This window comes from Homo sapiens, chromosome 14, assembly GCF_000001405.40.
Source record: "Homo sapiens chromosome 14, GRCh38.p14 Primary Assembly".
Lineage (NCBI taxonomy): Eukaryota > Metazoa > Chordata > Mammalia > Primates > Hominidae > Homo > Homo sapiens.
The window spans coordinates 74,535,535-74,551,354 of record NC_000014.9 but is presented as its reverse complement, the minus strand read 5'-3'; the positions used below and the strand labels follow the sequence as shown (position 1 = coordinate 74,551,354).

Genomic DNA, 15,820 nt, shown 5'->3' with positions numbered 1-15,820 from the left:
CCAGCCTCCGTGAACCCCTCCCTGGTGAAGGTGCACATTCACCACCCACCCGAGGCCTCAGTGCAGATCCACCAGGTGGCCCAGGTGCGGGGCGGGGTGGAGGAGGCCCTAGTGGAGAACAGCGTGGAGACCAGACCCCCGCCCTGGCTGCCTGCCAGCCCTGGCCACAGCCTCTGGGACAGCAACAACATCCCTGCTCGGTCTGGAGAGCCCCCTCGGCCACTGCCCCCAGCAGCACCCAGGCCTCGAGGACTGCTGGGCCGGTGTTACCTGAACACTGTGAACGGACAGGTGAGAACACAGCTCTGGCCTCAGCCCTGGATGCTTCCAGGATGGCAGTTGTCCCCAGTCTGCCCTTCTCCTCCTCTCTGTCCTCTTTGTTCTTATGGAATGTGAGTGTCTGCAGACTCTCCCATTTCCCAGATGGGAAAACCCAAGGCATGAAATTGTCCATGTATGGAGAGTCTGGGCCTCCTTCCTGGGCTCTACTTGGTGCTTGTCAATACCAGGCACACAGAAGAAGACCCAAGGAAGTTCCCCTCTGGAGGAGCTGTCACCAGCATCCTCAGGTGAAGGCAGCCTAGAGATGCTGATCCTATGACCCCTGGCACATGGACCAGTGGGGCTGTTAGGATCTGGCCAGGAGTTTTTTATCCAGTTGAGGCTACAGTTGGGGTCACAGAGGTGTGGAATTAACAAATGGAGGTTAACCCCAAAGCCCTGGTGGTACAAAGATGAGAGATACTCCTATTGCCCTCTGGAACCATCCTCAGCTCATAATGGGAAATCAGGGAAGATTTTCTGAGGCCAGGCACCCAAGAATAGGGGTTAGACCAGACCCAGTATGGTTTTTCTTGGGGTTGCCAGGAAACCGCTTAGTTTCCAGAAACTAAGGTATTTCCAGAAACCCTATCTGAGATTAGGGAACTGGAGGAGGTGGGACAGCCAAGGGGTAAACACCCTGAATTCCCAGATCATCCCTGGCCTCTCACCTTGGGGTGTCCCTGAGCCTGGGGCTCTGCTCACAAGGCCCACTCTGTGGGTGACCCTGCAGTTCCCTGGAGGTAGGCAGAGGAAGCTCTTCCTTTAGGACCCTTTGTCTGTGGTTGGGGCCATGGAGGGTGGTGGTTTGCAGCCCCGCACAGGGCAGATCTTGTGTCTGGGGTGTCCCATCCACACACAAGGTTCAGGGCTGGGAGAGTGCATGGCAGGTTTCTCTGCTTCCTTCTGGGATATGGGCTGACTCCCTTCTCCCCTTCTTTGGCTGGGGACATCCTCTGGCAGAATGTGGGGAGTGAGCTCTGTGTCCTAGGCTTTCCCGGGACATCTCTGTGCACAGCCTGGGAGGGAAGGGGGGTGGTCACAGGTGTCCATGGCCTCTCCTTCCAGTGTGCCAACCCTCTGCTGGAGCTGACTACCCAGGAGGACTGCTGTGGCAGTGTGGGAGCCTTCTGGGGGGTGACTTTGTGTGCCCCATGCCCACCCAGACCAGGTGAGTGCTGGAGTCCAAGGTCACGTGTTGTGGAGGAAGCTCTCCCTGGGCCTGCCCTCTCCTGCCAGGGTTTCCCCTCCAGGATGTCAGAGGCCAGGCAGGTAGAACAGGCTGGTAAACTGCAGACTTCCCAGACCTGCCTTGAAGGTGTTTCTGGCCAGCACTGAGGCTCCTGGCAGCCCTCTGCTGGTGCAGTCTGTCCTGCCTGCTCCATCTGATTGCCTGCAAGGGCCTGCTCTCTCTTGCAGAGATTCTTGATCAGATTTTAGGGATTTCACTCAGTGTTCCCCTGCACACCCCTCCCAGATGCCAGGGGTCCAGAGATCTTGATTCAGTGATTCAGTGTTTTCTTTATTCTCTCCCTGATGGGGCCCCCAGGCCTCCTCTTTATCTCCTTACCTCCTGTTCCAGCCTCCCTGACTTTGAATTAGGGTTGAATGTCTGTCCTAGATGTCCTCATCCTTGGGGTATGGGAGCCCTAGTTCCTTGCCCTCTTTTGGACGATGGGAAAAACCTAACATGTGTTAATTCATTCATTCATTCATTCATTCAGCAAATACTCACTGGGTGCCTTGTATGTGCCAAGGACTGCAATTTCAGGAGTGAGCAAGATGCCTGTTCACGATGCTCTCCCCAGTCTTAGTTGCACAATTGGGAGGAGGGTGACCAGATGCCTGTGCGTGAGTGTGGCTTCTGCCCATTTGTCTGTCTTCTCCCTCCAGGCCTCCTTTCTGGGCCTGGGCCTGAGCCTGGTGTGTATTTCCTTTGCCTGTCAGCAGTCAGCTTGGTCAATCAGCTTTGTCAGGAGGCTGGACAGGAGCCCAAAGATGGGAGGGGCAGGGCTGTTCCTTGCATCAGACTCAGCTGTGGAGCAGTGACTACATTTTCCAAACTAAAAATAAGTGTAGACAGTTTTACAGTGTGATAGAATTTTTGGCGAAGTAGCAAAGGGTAGTGTTCAGCTCCCAGGCTTAAATGTCTAACACATACTACGTACCAGTCCCAGCTCTTCCTGATCACCTCTCTCTGCGTCAGTCTCTTGATCTGTAAAATGGAGATAGTAATAGTGCCAGCCTCGTAGACTGCTGTAGAGATTAAATGAAATGATGCACATGCTTAGTATTAGGTCAATAAACCATGGCTATTACAATCATTATCATTATTGTAATTAGAAAGTATCCCTCAAGAAAGCGAGAAAGGAATGGACCCACTGCACAGGAGATGTGCATCAAACTGCCCAGGTCTCCCCTGTAGGCCAGAGATGTTTTTGCCACTTTTCTTCTTTCCTTGTTTTCTTTTCTCTTTCCTATCAGGCGTTGAACCCTTGAAACTTCTATATCCCACATTCTAATCAGTCGACAAATATTTACATTGACTAAGCCCCCATTTGAAGAGGCCATAGCATGCAGGCCCTGGACAGAGAGTAGAGAAGGTGGTAAAAACCGCACCTTCCTCTCCAAGCTTACAATTTAGTGGGTAGTCATAGATGGCTGGTAGGCATCAGGAATGAAGAGGTTTGAGCAGTGTCTGGTCAAGTCCTGAGTGCTGTGCAAACACAGGCAGTGGAGCCCAGGCCCCTCATAGGTCCAGTAGCACCTTTGTGCAAATTAGAAAAACCTGCCCTTCCATTTGTTCAAGATCATCTTCATAAATATGCCAATCTAGGATGCCAATGATTCCCTTAGAGATGGTGCTTTTGTGCAGTGCACAACTTGCACATCTGTACACTGTGGGATGGGGGCCCTACAGGCTAAACCCTGTGGATCAGGGAAAGCTTCTCAGAGGAGGTGACTTCCAGGATGAGATTTGAAGAATAATTAGGGGTAGGACAGTTAAGTAATGGGGAAGAGTTTAACAACCCAAGGAAATTGCATGTGCAGGTAAGACCAAGAGAATGAGCAACATTTTCTGGAGCACAGTATGTCTCTTGCTGAGCCCTGCTCAGCCCTGGCTCTCCTGTAGAAAGGCAGGCATGTCAGAAGGGTTAGGTGGGGCCAGGGCTCCCAAGTCCCTGCTCTGGGCAGGTTCTGGTTCCCAAGAGCTGGCTCATTCAGACAAGTGGGTGGGGGTCTCTCTCCCTTTACCCCATCAACCCTCTGAGGGGCATGCAGTACCTGCTGCGCTGACCAAGGTGCTGACCTGCCCTGGGACCTCCTGACCCAGTTAGGGCTGTCCTAGGAGGGAGCTGGCTTTTCTAGGTGGTAGGAACAATGAGATTTCATCCAAGTGGCAATTCAGGGGCAGCCTTAGAAGTTTCCCCTCCTTGTCTCAGGGCTCAGAAGCTGTCACGCTGTTGCCTCTGGAATCTGAGAAATAATGAAGGGGAAGAGTGGGCTCAGCTGCCAACAGCGTGAGTGTAAAGGAGTGGAGTGGTGCAGCTGAGAAACAGGCTTCCAGAAGGGCCTTCTCAGAATCCCGCTTCACTGCTGGGATTCTCCTCCCAGCTGAGGTCTATGCCCCTCTCGGAACCTTCCTCTGGGCAAGTCTTCAGGCCTTAAGGTGTCCTTGATTTGGGTACCAAGCATAATCCTGAACTCTTGAGATGCAGCCCTCTGGGTGGGGTGTCAGCGATCAGGGCCCCACAGGGTCCTTGGGTCAGTATCTCCTCTGTAATTCACTAAGCCAATCTGACAGTGATGTTAGTGGCCACAGACCTATCAGGTGACATTAGTGAAAATGAAAATAGAGCCACTCTGGATTCTTCACTTATATGTCACATCTGCCACTTATAGGATTGGAGGGGACAGTGGGAGCACAGGGCCTGCCTGTCCCAAGCTCTGGAGCCCATCAGGGGTGCAGAGATGCAGGCTGTGAGGTCCATGCCAGGGCTGGCTGCTGCCAATGGAGGATTCTAGGCCTGTTGCCCTCAGCCAGGGCTGACAGGCACCATGACCACATCCCCAGATCTTGGAAGCACTTCTGAGAGTGGGGGAGCCCTCCACTGGAAGGGTGGGGAGCAGGAGAAAAAGGCCAGAGTCTGTACTGAAGCAGCTACCTGCTCGCCCACTTGCTGCACTCCTGGTTCCACCTGTGTGCCAGCCTTGAGAGCTCAGCCCACCTGATGCCCAAGGAACCTGCTCCAAATACAGCTGGTGAGCTCGGTTCAGACAGGGCTAGAGCCCAGTGGCGGTGGGCACGGGAGCAGAGCTCTGTGGATCAGGTGCGTGCAGAACACGAATTGTACCCCTCCCCCAACACACCCAACGCTCAGCCCTTGCCCTCGCTCTGCCCCATCCCAGATGGTGGCCTCCCCTACTGTGTTCAGAACATCTCAGCGCGCTGGGCACCAGGGTACAGACCCTGGAATGTCAAGCATCCCAGCACACTGAGCAAGAAATAACAAAGACCAGGGCAACATAAACATCAAAAACACATGAAAGTGCAGTTGGGCGTTGTATAGAGAAGGGGCAAGACGTTGGGGAGCCTTGTTTGTGTTGACAGAGTGCCAGGCACCTCGCTTCATGCCTGAACCTGGGGCTGGGGTGGGCACATTTCTTTAAGTGGGGATGACAAGGAAGCTTCTATACAAGAAGCAGAGGAAGAAAAGACAAGCTGCCAGGGCAGGTTTGGGGAAGGTTGGCAAGACAGACAGGACTTCTGGATCCTAGATCATCCCTGGCACTAGTGGCTTTGCCTCTCTGAGCCCCTATTTCTCCTCTGATAAAATAGGCTTATGCTTCTGGGGGAAGCCTTTGTCATCCCCAGTAAAGTGTTCTAGCAAATCAGGCAGTGGTGGGAGTGATAGGGTGAGCAGCCTGGGAGTGGCTTCATGGCTTCCCTTCAGTCACATTCTGGCTTTGAGGCTCTGTGCTGGACTGTTGAAGAAGGTCGCAACAGAATGCCACTATTCCTGACATGGAAAAGGACTGCCTTGAAGTCTTAATTGCATGGCATAGGTAAATCCCTTTTGTTCCAGAATGCCACAGAACTTGCATGGAGAGCTGGCCCGGGAGTCAGTCTAGACCAGCCCACAGTTCCCCTCTGCTCCCTTCACTCTGAGTGGTAGAGGTAATGTGTACCCAGCTGAACTCCCAGGACTTAGCCTGAGCCAGGTCTTCCTGACCCCTTGGGATTTATCAAAGGGTCCCAGCTCATAGCCCTCTTCAATCCTCCTGCCAGAGTCTGGAGAACACACGGTTCTCAAAAGCCACTTTGATTGAGGCCACATTTTTGAGTTTTCATCTGAGAAAGACAGACATCTGGGCTGACTGGAAAGTTGGCCACTGCCCCATCTGGCTTGGCACTGGCTGTGTCAACCCCCAGGCCCCTTTGCTGGGACAGGCGGGGCTGGCACATGGCTCAGGGCCTACAGTGGTGGGCTCCAGCTGTTTGCCATGAGATCGTCTTGCCATTTGCCTGGGGTGGGTTGAGTTCACCTCTGAACCCAGGGCCCTCTGTATCTCCAGGGAGAACAGATTCTCTTGCTCTGCCCTTTCAAGGAACTCTGCACCTTTCTCTCTTAAACCAAGAATAGCCGCCAGTTCCTGAACTTTCACATTACACTGGGCCCTTCACATGTTTTGTCTCACTGAATTTGTACAGCCACCTGCAAGCCCAGGATTTTTAACCCTATTTGATGGATGAGGAAAATGGAGCTCCAAGAAGGCTGAGGAGCTTGTCCAAGGTCATACATCTAGGGCAGGTAGAGCCAGGATTCCAACCACAGTATGTCTGACTCTCAGCTGAGCAAGATCTCCCTAATCATTCTGGGGAGACCTGAGCCTCCCTGAAGGAAACAAAGATCAGGATGCTAGACTGGAATTCTGCAGCCAAGAGGATGCGCGTCAAGATTGGGTTTTGTGAGTTACTTGTGCTATATCCGTCAAGAAGATTTGGGTTAGATAGAGGGGCAGGTTAGCAACATGTAGCCCCGGCCTGCGTTAAGAGAAATAATTGCCCTAGGGAGAAGGGTGTAGGCTTTCCCCCACGTGGTTCTCAAGAGAAATATCCAATGTGTGGTGTTTCTGGTAACCAGAGCTCGACTTGAAACTGATCACAAGGGACAACTTATTAAAAACTGCAGGCGCCCAGCAATAAAATGGGTTGTGCCTAAAAGTAGTGGGCTCCAGATCACAGGGAGAATGACTACCAAGAACAGATTTTTCATAGGAGTCGACAAAGAAAATTGATTTTTGAGGAAATGGGGGTTTTTAGAGATGTTTGAAAATGTATTTGAACCTTCCAACAGAAAGAAGGCTTTGCTTTGGTCCTGACCCTTGCCCATGACGAGAGTTATAGGTGTAGCTCTGTGATGCCAGCCCCTGGGGAGGATGGGTATGGGAGGGTGCTGGGGGCATGAGGGGCAGAGAGCCTTAGGGCAGGTCACAGCAGCAACACCATTATTATCACCCTTATCATCATTCACAACCATTTATTCAGAGTACTTATAAGTGCCAGGCACGGTGCTAAGTGCTTTTTCATTTTCTTGCATCCTAACAATATTTCTAGATGTTGGGTGCTATTATCCCCATTTTACAGAAGAGAAAATTGGGCCTGAAACTCCCGGCCTATCTGACTCCAGTTGCCTGCTTCCAGCCACTCTGCAAGTGGCCTCTCTCTGCTGCTTCTTGCACCCGGCACAAGCATTTGCTGAACTGGAGGACCCCAGCTTGGGGAACAGCTGTGCTGGGGTGGGGCTCCTGTTCTCTGGGATTCTGGATGAGATGCCCAGTCCCCTACTCTAAAGAAATGGGATTTTCAGAATTCCAGTTGTCAGCTGAAAAGGCAGTGTCTCTTTGGCTCAGAGATGTTCTGAGAGCTTCTTCCAAGGGACTTGAAGCCTGCTGGGAATGAATTGTGCCTCAGGCTTAAGTGAGCACCCTCCCAACCCAGCAGGGGTGGGTGTCACTGACATGTGGCACCTCTAGCCCGGAGAGCGGAGGAAGGGCTGGGGCAGGGGTGGCTAGGTGGCACCTGCCTGAGCCAGGGGTCTGACCAGACTCTTTTTCGACCTCACTGTTTGTGGTGACTTTGGTTCTATCTTGCTCTGAGGAGGCAGTCAGAGGCCATCTTTGGGCAGAATGTCCATAATCACTGGGGGGCCCCACTGGTCCTTCACCAAGGAGGGAAATCTGAATAATGGACATTATGAGAATTCCTAAAATGGGACAAGTGTTGTGCTCAGAGTTGTACATGCTTATTTCATGTTCATAATAACCCCATGAAGAGGGACTTATCATCTCCAGTTTACTGATAAGAAGACCCAGCCTCAAAGAGGTTGTGTAACCTGCCCAAATTCACCCAGCTAGTGAGGGACAGTGGGCCAGCATGCCAGCCTTGAGACTGTGGGGAAGGAAGGGAGGAAGGAAGGGAGGGAGGGAGGAAAAAGGGAGGGAAGGCAGGCAGGCAGGCAGGCAGGCTCTATAGGGTTTGTGCCATGCATCTGCGAGGTTCAGTCTGACATTTATTGTTTCAGCAAAGCTAATCCTCACAATGACTCCACAAGCTGAGTCTTCGTCCTCACTGTTTTTTTTTTTTTTTTTTTTGAGACGGAGTCTCGCTCTGTCACCCAGGCTGGAGTGCAGTGGCGCAATCTCGGCTCACTGCAAGCTCTGCCTCCTGGGTTCATGCCATTCTCCTGCCTCAGCCTCCCAAGTAGCTGGGACTACAGGTGCCCGCCATCACACCCAGCTAATTTTTTGTATTTTTAGGAGAGACGGAGTTTCACCGTGTTAGCTGGGATGGTCTCAATCTCCCGACCTCGTGATCTGCCTGCCTTGGCCTCCCAAAGTGCTGGGATTACAGATGTGAACCACCGTGCCCAGCCCAGTCCCCACTTCTACAGATGAAAAAATTCAGCCAGGAGCGGTGGCTCACGCCTGTAATCCCAACACTTTGGGAGACCAAGATGGGCAGATCACGAGGTCAGGAGTTTGAGAACATCCTGGCCAACATGGTGAAACCCCGTCTCTCTACTAAAAATACAAAAATTAGCTGGGTGTGGCAGCGCGTGGCTGTAATCCTGTTTACTCAGGAGGCTGAGGCAGGAGAATTGCTTGAACCCAGGAGGCAGAGATTGCAGTGAGCTGAGATCGCGCCACTGCACTCCAGCCTGGTGACAGAGCTAGACTCCATCTCAAAAAAAAAAAAAAAATTCAGGCTGAGAGGTTAAGAAATGTGCCCCAGGTCACACAGGTAGTCAGAGTGGAGCCTGGGATTAGATGTGGGTCTGGCTGCCCCAGCACCTGCACTCCTACTGGGGGAGTAGAATTTTCTCTCCAGCTTGCCCTTCTGAGGTTTGCAAATCAAAGGGGCAAGGCACCAGCCTGCTCACGCGTCCCTGTGTCACTGAGCTTGGCCTCGCCAGGCATGTATGTGTCTGTCCCTGGGCAGAGGGGCTGTGTGGTAGGGACCTTTCACATCTCCCTGCTGCAGGCACCTGTCATCACAGGCTGAGATTGGCACAGCTTGTAAACAGCCCTGTGGCCAGACACTCTTCACTTTCTCCTCCACAGCTCTACTCATGGAGTCAGCGCCAAAACTGTCTCGAGAAATTAGTTTGCCTTTACTGAGGCCTCCTTGGGAGTCCCAGCAGCCGAGGGGGAGAGTTAGCAGGGCAGGGGCAGGCTGCAGCCAGGGGCCCATCTGCTTCTTTCTTCAGTTTGTGAGCAACCGAGGCACGGCAGAGGGTGGACAGGGCCAAGGCCAGGGAATCAGAAGACCATATGTCCCGATGTCCTTACCAGGAAGGTTCCCCACATCTGTCCTGCATGCTTCATGGGCATTTGTGATGTGAACTCCTTGGAGTTCAGGTCGGTCCCCACTGATCCTGGGCAGCTGCTTTGGCTTTCCCAAGTCTAAGAGTCTGAAAGGCAAGGACACTGCAGCCCTGCAAGGCCTCCTTGAAGCATCCGTGGGAGTCACAGCTTAGCCACTCTCTCTCCCCAGGTCTCACAGATTCTCTTCTTTCTACTCTCTGACCCCTTACCCCTTGTGATAACCTTGATCTGGCTGAGGAGCCACAAGGGGTAGGATGAGTTCTACACCATTTCCTTTGTCAGTTCTGCCCGGCACTTTGGTTATGCACATCGTGGAGCACTTACCAGGCATCTGATCAGTTCTTCTGACCTCCTTCTGAGTATCCCTACTTTTTTTTTTTTCTTATTCCCTCTCCTGACCCCTCATTTAAAAACAGGGTAGAGGTTTCCTAGGAAGGGTGCTAGGTTTTCTACTGGGCAGGTACCTCCATTGGTCCCTAGGGTTTTCTGCCTAGACACCCCTAAGGCTTTTCACAAATTTATTTATTTGGAGGCAGTGGGGAGAATGGTTCAGAATTTCTCCTCTGGAGCTAGACTGCCTGAGTTCATAATCCCAGCTCTGTCCACCAGCGGGGTGACCTTGGGTTTGTTTCATAACCTCATCCATTTTATGGATGAACCTCAATTTGCTCATCCATAAAATGGGAATAATATTAGTAAGACTCTCCAAGGGCTCTTATGAGCATTAACTAAGTTAATTCGTGTAAAGCCTTTATAATAGGGCCTGGCCCATAGTAAGTGCCATTTGAGTGTTTGGTCTTCTTATTTGTTCCTATTTTGACTGAGTGCCCACACAGCTCTAGGTGTCATGCTTGGCACCAGAGACATAACAGTGATGAAGAAGAATAAGACAAGGTCCTTGTCCTCACGTAGCTTATGCTTTGTGGAGAGATGGAAAAGTAAACAGGCAGCCACGACACACCATGAACTGAGTTTTTCAGCTCAAAAGCTAGTGCTGTGACTTGGGCAGGGCTGTATGTATTGGGAGCATGCAAGAGGGACACCTGGTGTGGGTGGCAGGGACGGTGACAGGTGTCACCTGCCTTCACCTGTCACAAAGCTCACTGGCTGCTGAATTTTCACCCTGAGCCATATGGCCATCTAAACTTCCACTTTCTCCCAAGGAGATTTAACCTGAATTTAACCTACATATATAAAAAATATATATATATATATATAACCTATATATATTTTAAATATATATATTTTTAATATATAATATATATATTATATATATAAATATATATAATATATATAATATATATAAATATATATTATATAAAAATATATATATATTATATATATATATAAATATATATATAATATATATATATATTTTTTAAGATGGAGTCTCGCTCTGTTGCCCAGGCTGGAGTGCAGTGGCTCAATCTCGGCTCACTGCAAGCTCCGCCTCCTGGGTTCACGCCATTCTCCTGCCTCAGCCTCCCAAGTAGCTGGAACTACAGGCACCCGCCACCACATCCCGCTAATTTTTTGTATTTTTAGTAGAGATGGGGTTTCATCATGTTAGCCAGGATGGTCTCGATCTCCTGACCTCATGATCCGCCCGCCTCGGCCTCCCAAAGTGCTAGGATTACAGGCGTGAGCCACTGCGCCTTATTTATTTATTTTTAAGACATGGTCTCACTCTGTTGCCCAGCATGGAGTACAGAGGCATGATCTCGACTCACTGCCACCTCTACCTCCTAGGCTCAAAGAATTCTCCCACCTCAGCCTCCTGAGTAGCGAGGACCACAGGCTCATGCCACCACGCCCGCTGACTTTTTGTATTTTTGGTAGAGACAGGGTTTTGCCATGTTGCCCAGGCTGGTCTCGAGTTCCAGAGCTCAGGTGATTCACTCGCCTCAGCCTCCAAAAGTGCTGGGATTACAGGCATGAGCCACCATGCCCGGCCTTAACCTGATTTTTTGGATTCAATGCTGTACTTGGTCTTACAGAAGCTAGGAACTAGCCCCTTATAGACTGTCTCTGAGAGGTGTGAGGAGGGGTGCTGAGGGCCCTGGTTTTGGGGTGGAGGTTGTTGGTAAAAATGGGAGTTTCCCCAGAGACAGTGGCTTGGCATTTATTTCCCTCTAGAAGCCTGCCTTCATGAAGAATTGCCCACGCAACACACTCCCTTCAGGCCAGCAGAGGGGCAGGTTCCCCTTATTAGGGAGGAGACCATTTTATATAAAAAGCACATACATGTATCCAGACTAATGGGTGGACCCAGCTCCTCTGAGATTCACTCATTCCTCGGGTTCTCACAGTTTTCTGCAGGTGCCAGCAGCTGGTTCCACTCTTGCTTCCTGCTCTCATCCAAGCTCTCTGCTGCTCCCCTTCTGATCACTAAAGAAGCAGGGGCCTCTGCTTCCTCCCTCTCCCTCTCCCTCTCAGTCTCCGTCTCCGTCTCCCTCTGTTGCCCAGGCTGGAGTGTAATAGCACAGTCACAGCTCACTGCAGCCCTGACCTCCCAGGCTCAAGTGATCCTCCTACCTCAGCCCCCAGAGTAGCTGGGACCACAGGCATGAACCACCATGCCCAGTTAATCTTATTTTTTTTGTAGAGACGGGGTTTTGCCATGTTGCCTGGGCTGGTCTCAAACTCCTGGACTCAAGGGACACTCCTGCCTCGGCCTCCCAAAGTGTTGGGATTACAGGTGTGAGCTACCATGCCCAACATCATTTCTCCCTCTTGACATCTAGAGAGTTGATACCTTTCCGGCCTGCTGGCTCACCCAGCTCTTCCTGATCTCTCTCTCTCTCTTAGAGAAGCACAGTGGAAGGTAGGAGAAAGGATGTGGCCTTCACAGCTAGAGGCCCGATTTCAACCCTGCCTCTGCTCCAGCAACTTTGTTACCTGGGTCAGTTACTTACCCCTCACTGAGCCTTGCTTTCCTAATCTGTAAAATGGGGATGACGGTCCCTGCCTTAGGGCATAATTGTTGTGAGAAACAGACATGACCATGTGTACCCATGGCCTTGCAATTCTGAAGCACTGGACAAATGTGCACTTGGTCTCTTTCCTCAGCCCTCTGGCAGCAGCCTTGCATCATTCTTTCCCACCTTCTGCTCCTCATAATGTTCACAGGCTGCATCTAATCAGCCTGCCTTCTGAGTTTCTCCAAAGGACTTCTCTTTCTTCCCTCCTCTCTGTCCTCAGTTTATACCACCAGGCCCCACGCCAGGGACGTGCACATCTCCCAGCCTCACTCTCATCTTTCCATCTCCTTCTCAGCGTTTTCAGAATCCCCGTGTGTCTCCACAAGAGTGGCCTTCTAGGCTGGACCCTGGTCCCTACATGGAACGTGCAAATCCGGAGCGGGCCAGTCCTGGCAGGAAAACATTTTTGAACTTCAGTTTACATTTTTTAATCTTAAAAAAGTTAAGCGTTACTAATTTATGTCCTCACTTGGTCTGTCCCTATGTCAGGCTGTCACATGTCATGCTTGGCACACAGTGTGTCCTCAGGGAAGAGTGGGGCTTCCAAGAAAATGTGGTGCCTCCTTCTATTTGTCTTTGGCATATTGCAACACAGTGCAGTTCACAGTGCTGTGTTTACTGGATTTTTTAGTTATGTATTCTGGTGTTAACTAAACTAACCCACACAAAATGGAGAGGTGGCTCTTAAAAGCTCCTGCAAAGAAACTGTGGATGCAAAATGACACTAGTCCCATAATCACAAGCAATCATTAAAAAACGCAATGCCGACCCTTCTCAGGGGGTCTTACCATGTCACTCAGCCTTATTACAAAGTAAAAATCGTGACGACCTATCAGATGTGACCCCCAAGTACCCCAGGATCCAAATGATCGAGAAGACTATATGAAATACAGATTGATGTAGGCCATTACTAATAACAAACCTTGCGCTAAGTGTGTAAGTGCCCAGAGAGAGCAGCTAATGGTGAAATAATAGCTATCTTGATTAGAAAAACATTTTAAACCACCAAGACACTCAAACTTTGCTGTACAATTGGATAAAGGATAAATATCTCTAACATGCCTCTTGGTATTTGCAAGAATTCATTTCAACAATAAAAATATATGAAAGGCTGGGTGCGGTGGCTCATGCCTATAATTCCAGCACTTTGGGAGGCCAAAGCAGGCGGATCACCTGAGGTCAGGAGTTCAAAACCAGCCTGGCCAACATGGTGAAACCCTGTCTCTACTAAAGATACAAAAGTTAGCCAGCCCTGGTGGCACATGCCTGTAATCCCAGCTACTCGGGAGGCTGAGGCAGGAGAATTACTTGAACCCAGGAAGTGGAGGTTGCAGTGAGCCGAGGTCACGCCACTGCATTCCAGCCTGTGCGACAGAGCAAGACTCCATCTCAAAAAAAAGAAGAAGAAGAAGAAGAAGAAAATATGAAGAACTCTCTTTTTGTAAACCACTAAAGGATGAACCAGTGGACATATATTCTCAACAGTAAATGACTTCCTGGATGACAATAAGCTTTAGCAAACAACACTGAAAGTGTAGCTACTGATGTTATGACTGGGAGAAAAAGGAATTGGGATAAGGTAACAGAGATGGAGGGTGCAGCATTCAGAGACAAGCTATTGCCACAAAGGAGTCAAAGCTAGAAGACGGCAAATTGCTACAGGAAGCCATCATGCAGCTACCTTTATAGAGCAAGACCTTTGAAATATCATGGTATATTTATGGAACTTTGTATGGAATAAGGTCTGTGGCAATTGCTCGTGCCTGCTTAGAATTGCTGGCTATCTATAGGCAAAAGAATTGTCAGACTTATAGCTGAGTTCTCTTTTTGTTCCACAAAAGATAGTATTCCCCTGCCTTTTCCTGTGAAGACAGGTGGCGATCAGAAGTATGCCTCCTGCTAGAGCTTTTCAAGAGGGTTGGCACACTAGTCTGTTCCTCCAAAGTAATGGAGATTTTTTTCCTGTTTTTATTTAATGTCAACTCTTTGGTTTTTTTTTTTTTCTTTGTAAAGTAAGGGGGAATGTTGTGATTTCAAGGCAGGATGTGTATCAGCATAAAAATACTGAGAATAATTTCCTTGTTGGTCAATCTGCAATCAGACATCTGTGTATTTTTAGTATTTCAAAATAAAAAGCAAAAAGTAATAACAATAAAATCCATGTTATATATATAACATGCATGTAGTGTAGTAGATACTATATGTAATAACTATGTATGTGAAGTATATAATACATTTTTCTTAGTATTAACAAAATTTTAATTGACAAATAAAAATTGTATATATTTGTGGTGCACAACTATTTGTTTGTTTGTTTTGAGATGGAGTCTTGCTCTGTCACTCAGGCTGGAGTGCAGTGGCGCAACCTCAGCTCACTGCGACCTCCCCCTCCTGGGTTCAAGCGAGTCTCCTGCCTCAGCCTCCTGAGTAGCTGGGATTACAGGCATGTGCTGCCATGCCCAGCTAATTTTCATATTTTTAGTAGAGATGGGGTTTCACCATGTTAGCCAGACTGGTCTCGAACTCCTGACCTGAGGTGATCCACCTGCCTTGGCCTCCCAAAGCACTGGGATTAAGGCATGAGCCACTGCGCCTGGCTGGTACACAACTGTTGTTCTGAAATAAGTATACATTGTAAAGTGGCTAAATTGCACCCATGTGTATTACCTCATATATTTATTTTTTGTGGTGAGAACACTTAAAATCTACTCTCTTAGCAATTTTCAAGAATACAAGACACTGTTATTAACCATAGTCACTATGTCGTACAACAGATCCTTTGAACTTATTCCTCCTGTATCTAACTGAAATGTTGTACCCTTTGATCAATATCTCCCCTCTCCCCCAGGCCCTGGTAACTACCATTCTACTCTGCTTCTATGGGTTTGCTTTTCTTAGGTCCCATATGTAAGTGAGATCATGTGATATTTGTCTTTCTGTGCCTGTCTTATTTCACTTAGTACTGCTTTTAATAAAAGCGAGGTGGGCTGAGAGGAGTCTGGTGAGAACCAGGAAGCACAGCTGCCCAGGGCGATGGCTTCGGGGGCTGGGGCTCACTGCTGCCGGGTGGGCTGGACATCCAGACTGCACCCGCTTCCCAGCATGGGTGACAGAGGAGCCCAGGGGCCGTCCAGTGAGACCTGTCCGTATCTCCACTCTTCAGCCTCCCCGGTGATTGAGAATGGCCAGCTGGAGTGTCCTCAGGGGTACAAGAGACTGAACCTCACTCACTGCCAAGGTAGGACCCCCAGGGCCAGGGCTGGGCTCAAGGATGCCGGGGCACACTCCCAGCACCAGACAGGAGGGGTGTCTGTCACTGGCCGAGTGGTCTCCACTGAGTCCCTCTAAGCCCCAGCTTTGGGGAGTGGTGGGGGGCTGCTGATTCCAGGGGACTAAGGAAATCCAGGGACTTGCTTGAGAGTGACAGAGGAAGCCAAGGGGGCCGACACCTCCCCTCGTCCCCATCTCCACCCACACCCACCTGGAACACAGGCTAGGGGCTCTAGGCTATGTGGGGCTGTGTCTGAAGGGGCCACCCCAGTCTGTGCACTTCCACTTTTCTCCTGAGCTGGTCTCCCTGGAGTGGGAAGAATTTCAGCTCTAGGGTGGGAAATCAAGTCAGCCTGAGT

At 50.0% G+C, this 15,820-nt stretch overlaps 1 protein-coding gene across 1 annotated transcript in view; it reads left to right on the top strand.

Moving 5' to 3' along the window:
- Positions 1 to 15,820, top strand: part of LTBP2 (latent transforming growth factor beta binding protein 2) — a 114,055-nt gene that overhangs the window by 60,883 nt on the left and 37,352 nt on the right. The window contains exons 7-9 of the mRNA NM_000428.3: positions 5 to 291; positions 1,390 to 1,492; positions 15,355 to 15,429. Coding sequence (NP_000419.1) covers positions 5 to 291; positions 1,390 to 1,492; positions 15,355 to 15,429 — 465 coding nt within the window. The remainder of the gene's footprint in view (positions 1 to 4; positions 292 to 1,389; positions 1,493 to 15,354; positions 15,430 to 15,820) is intronic.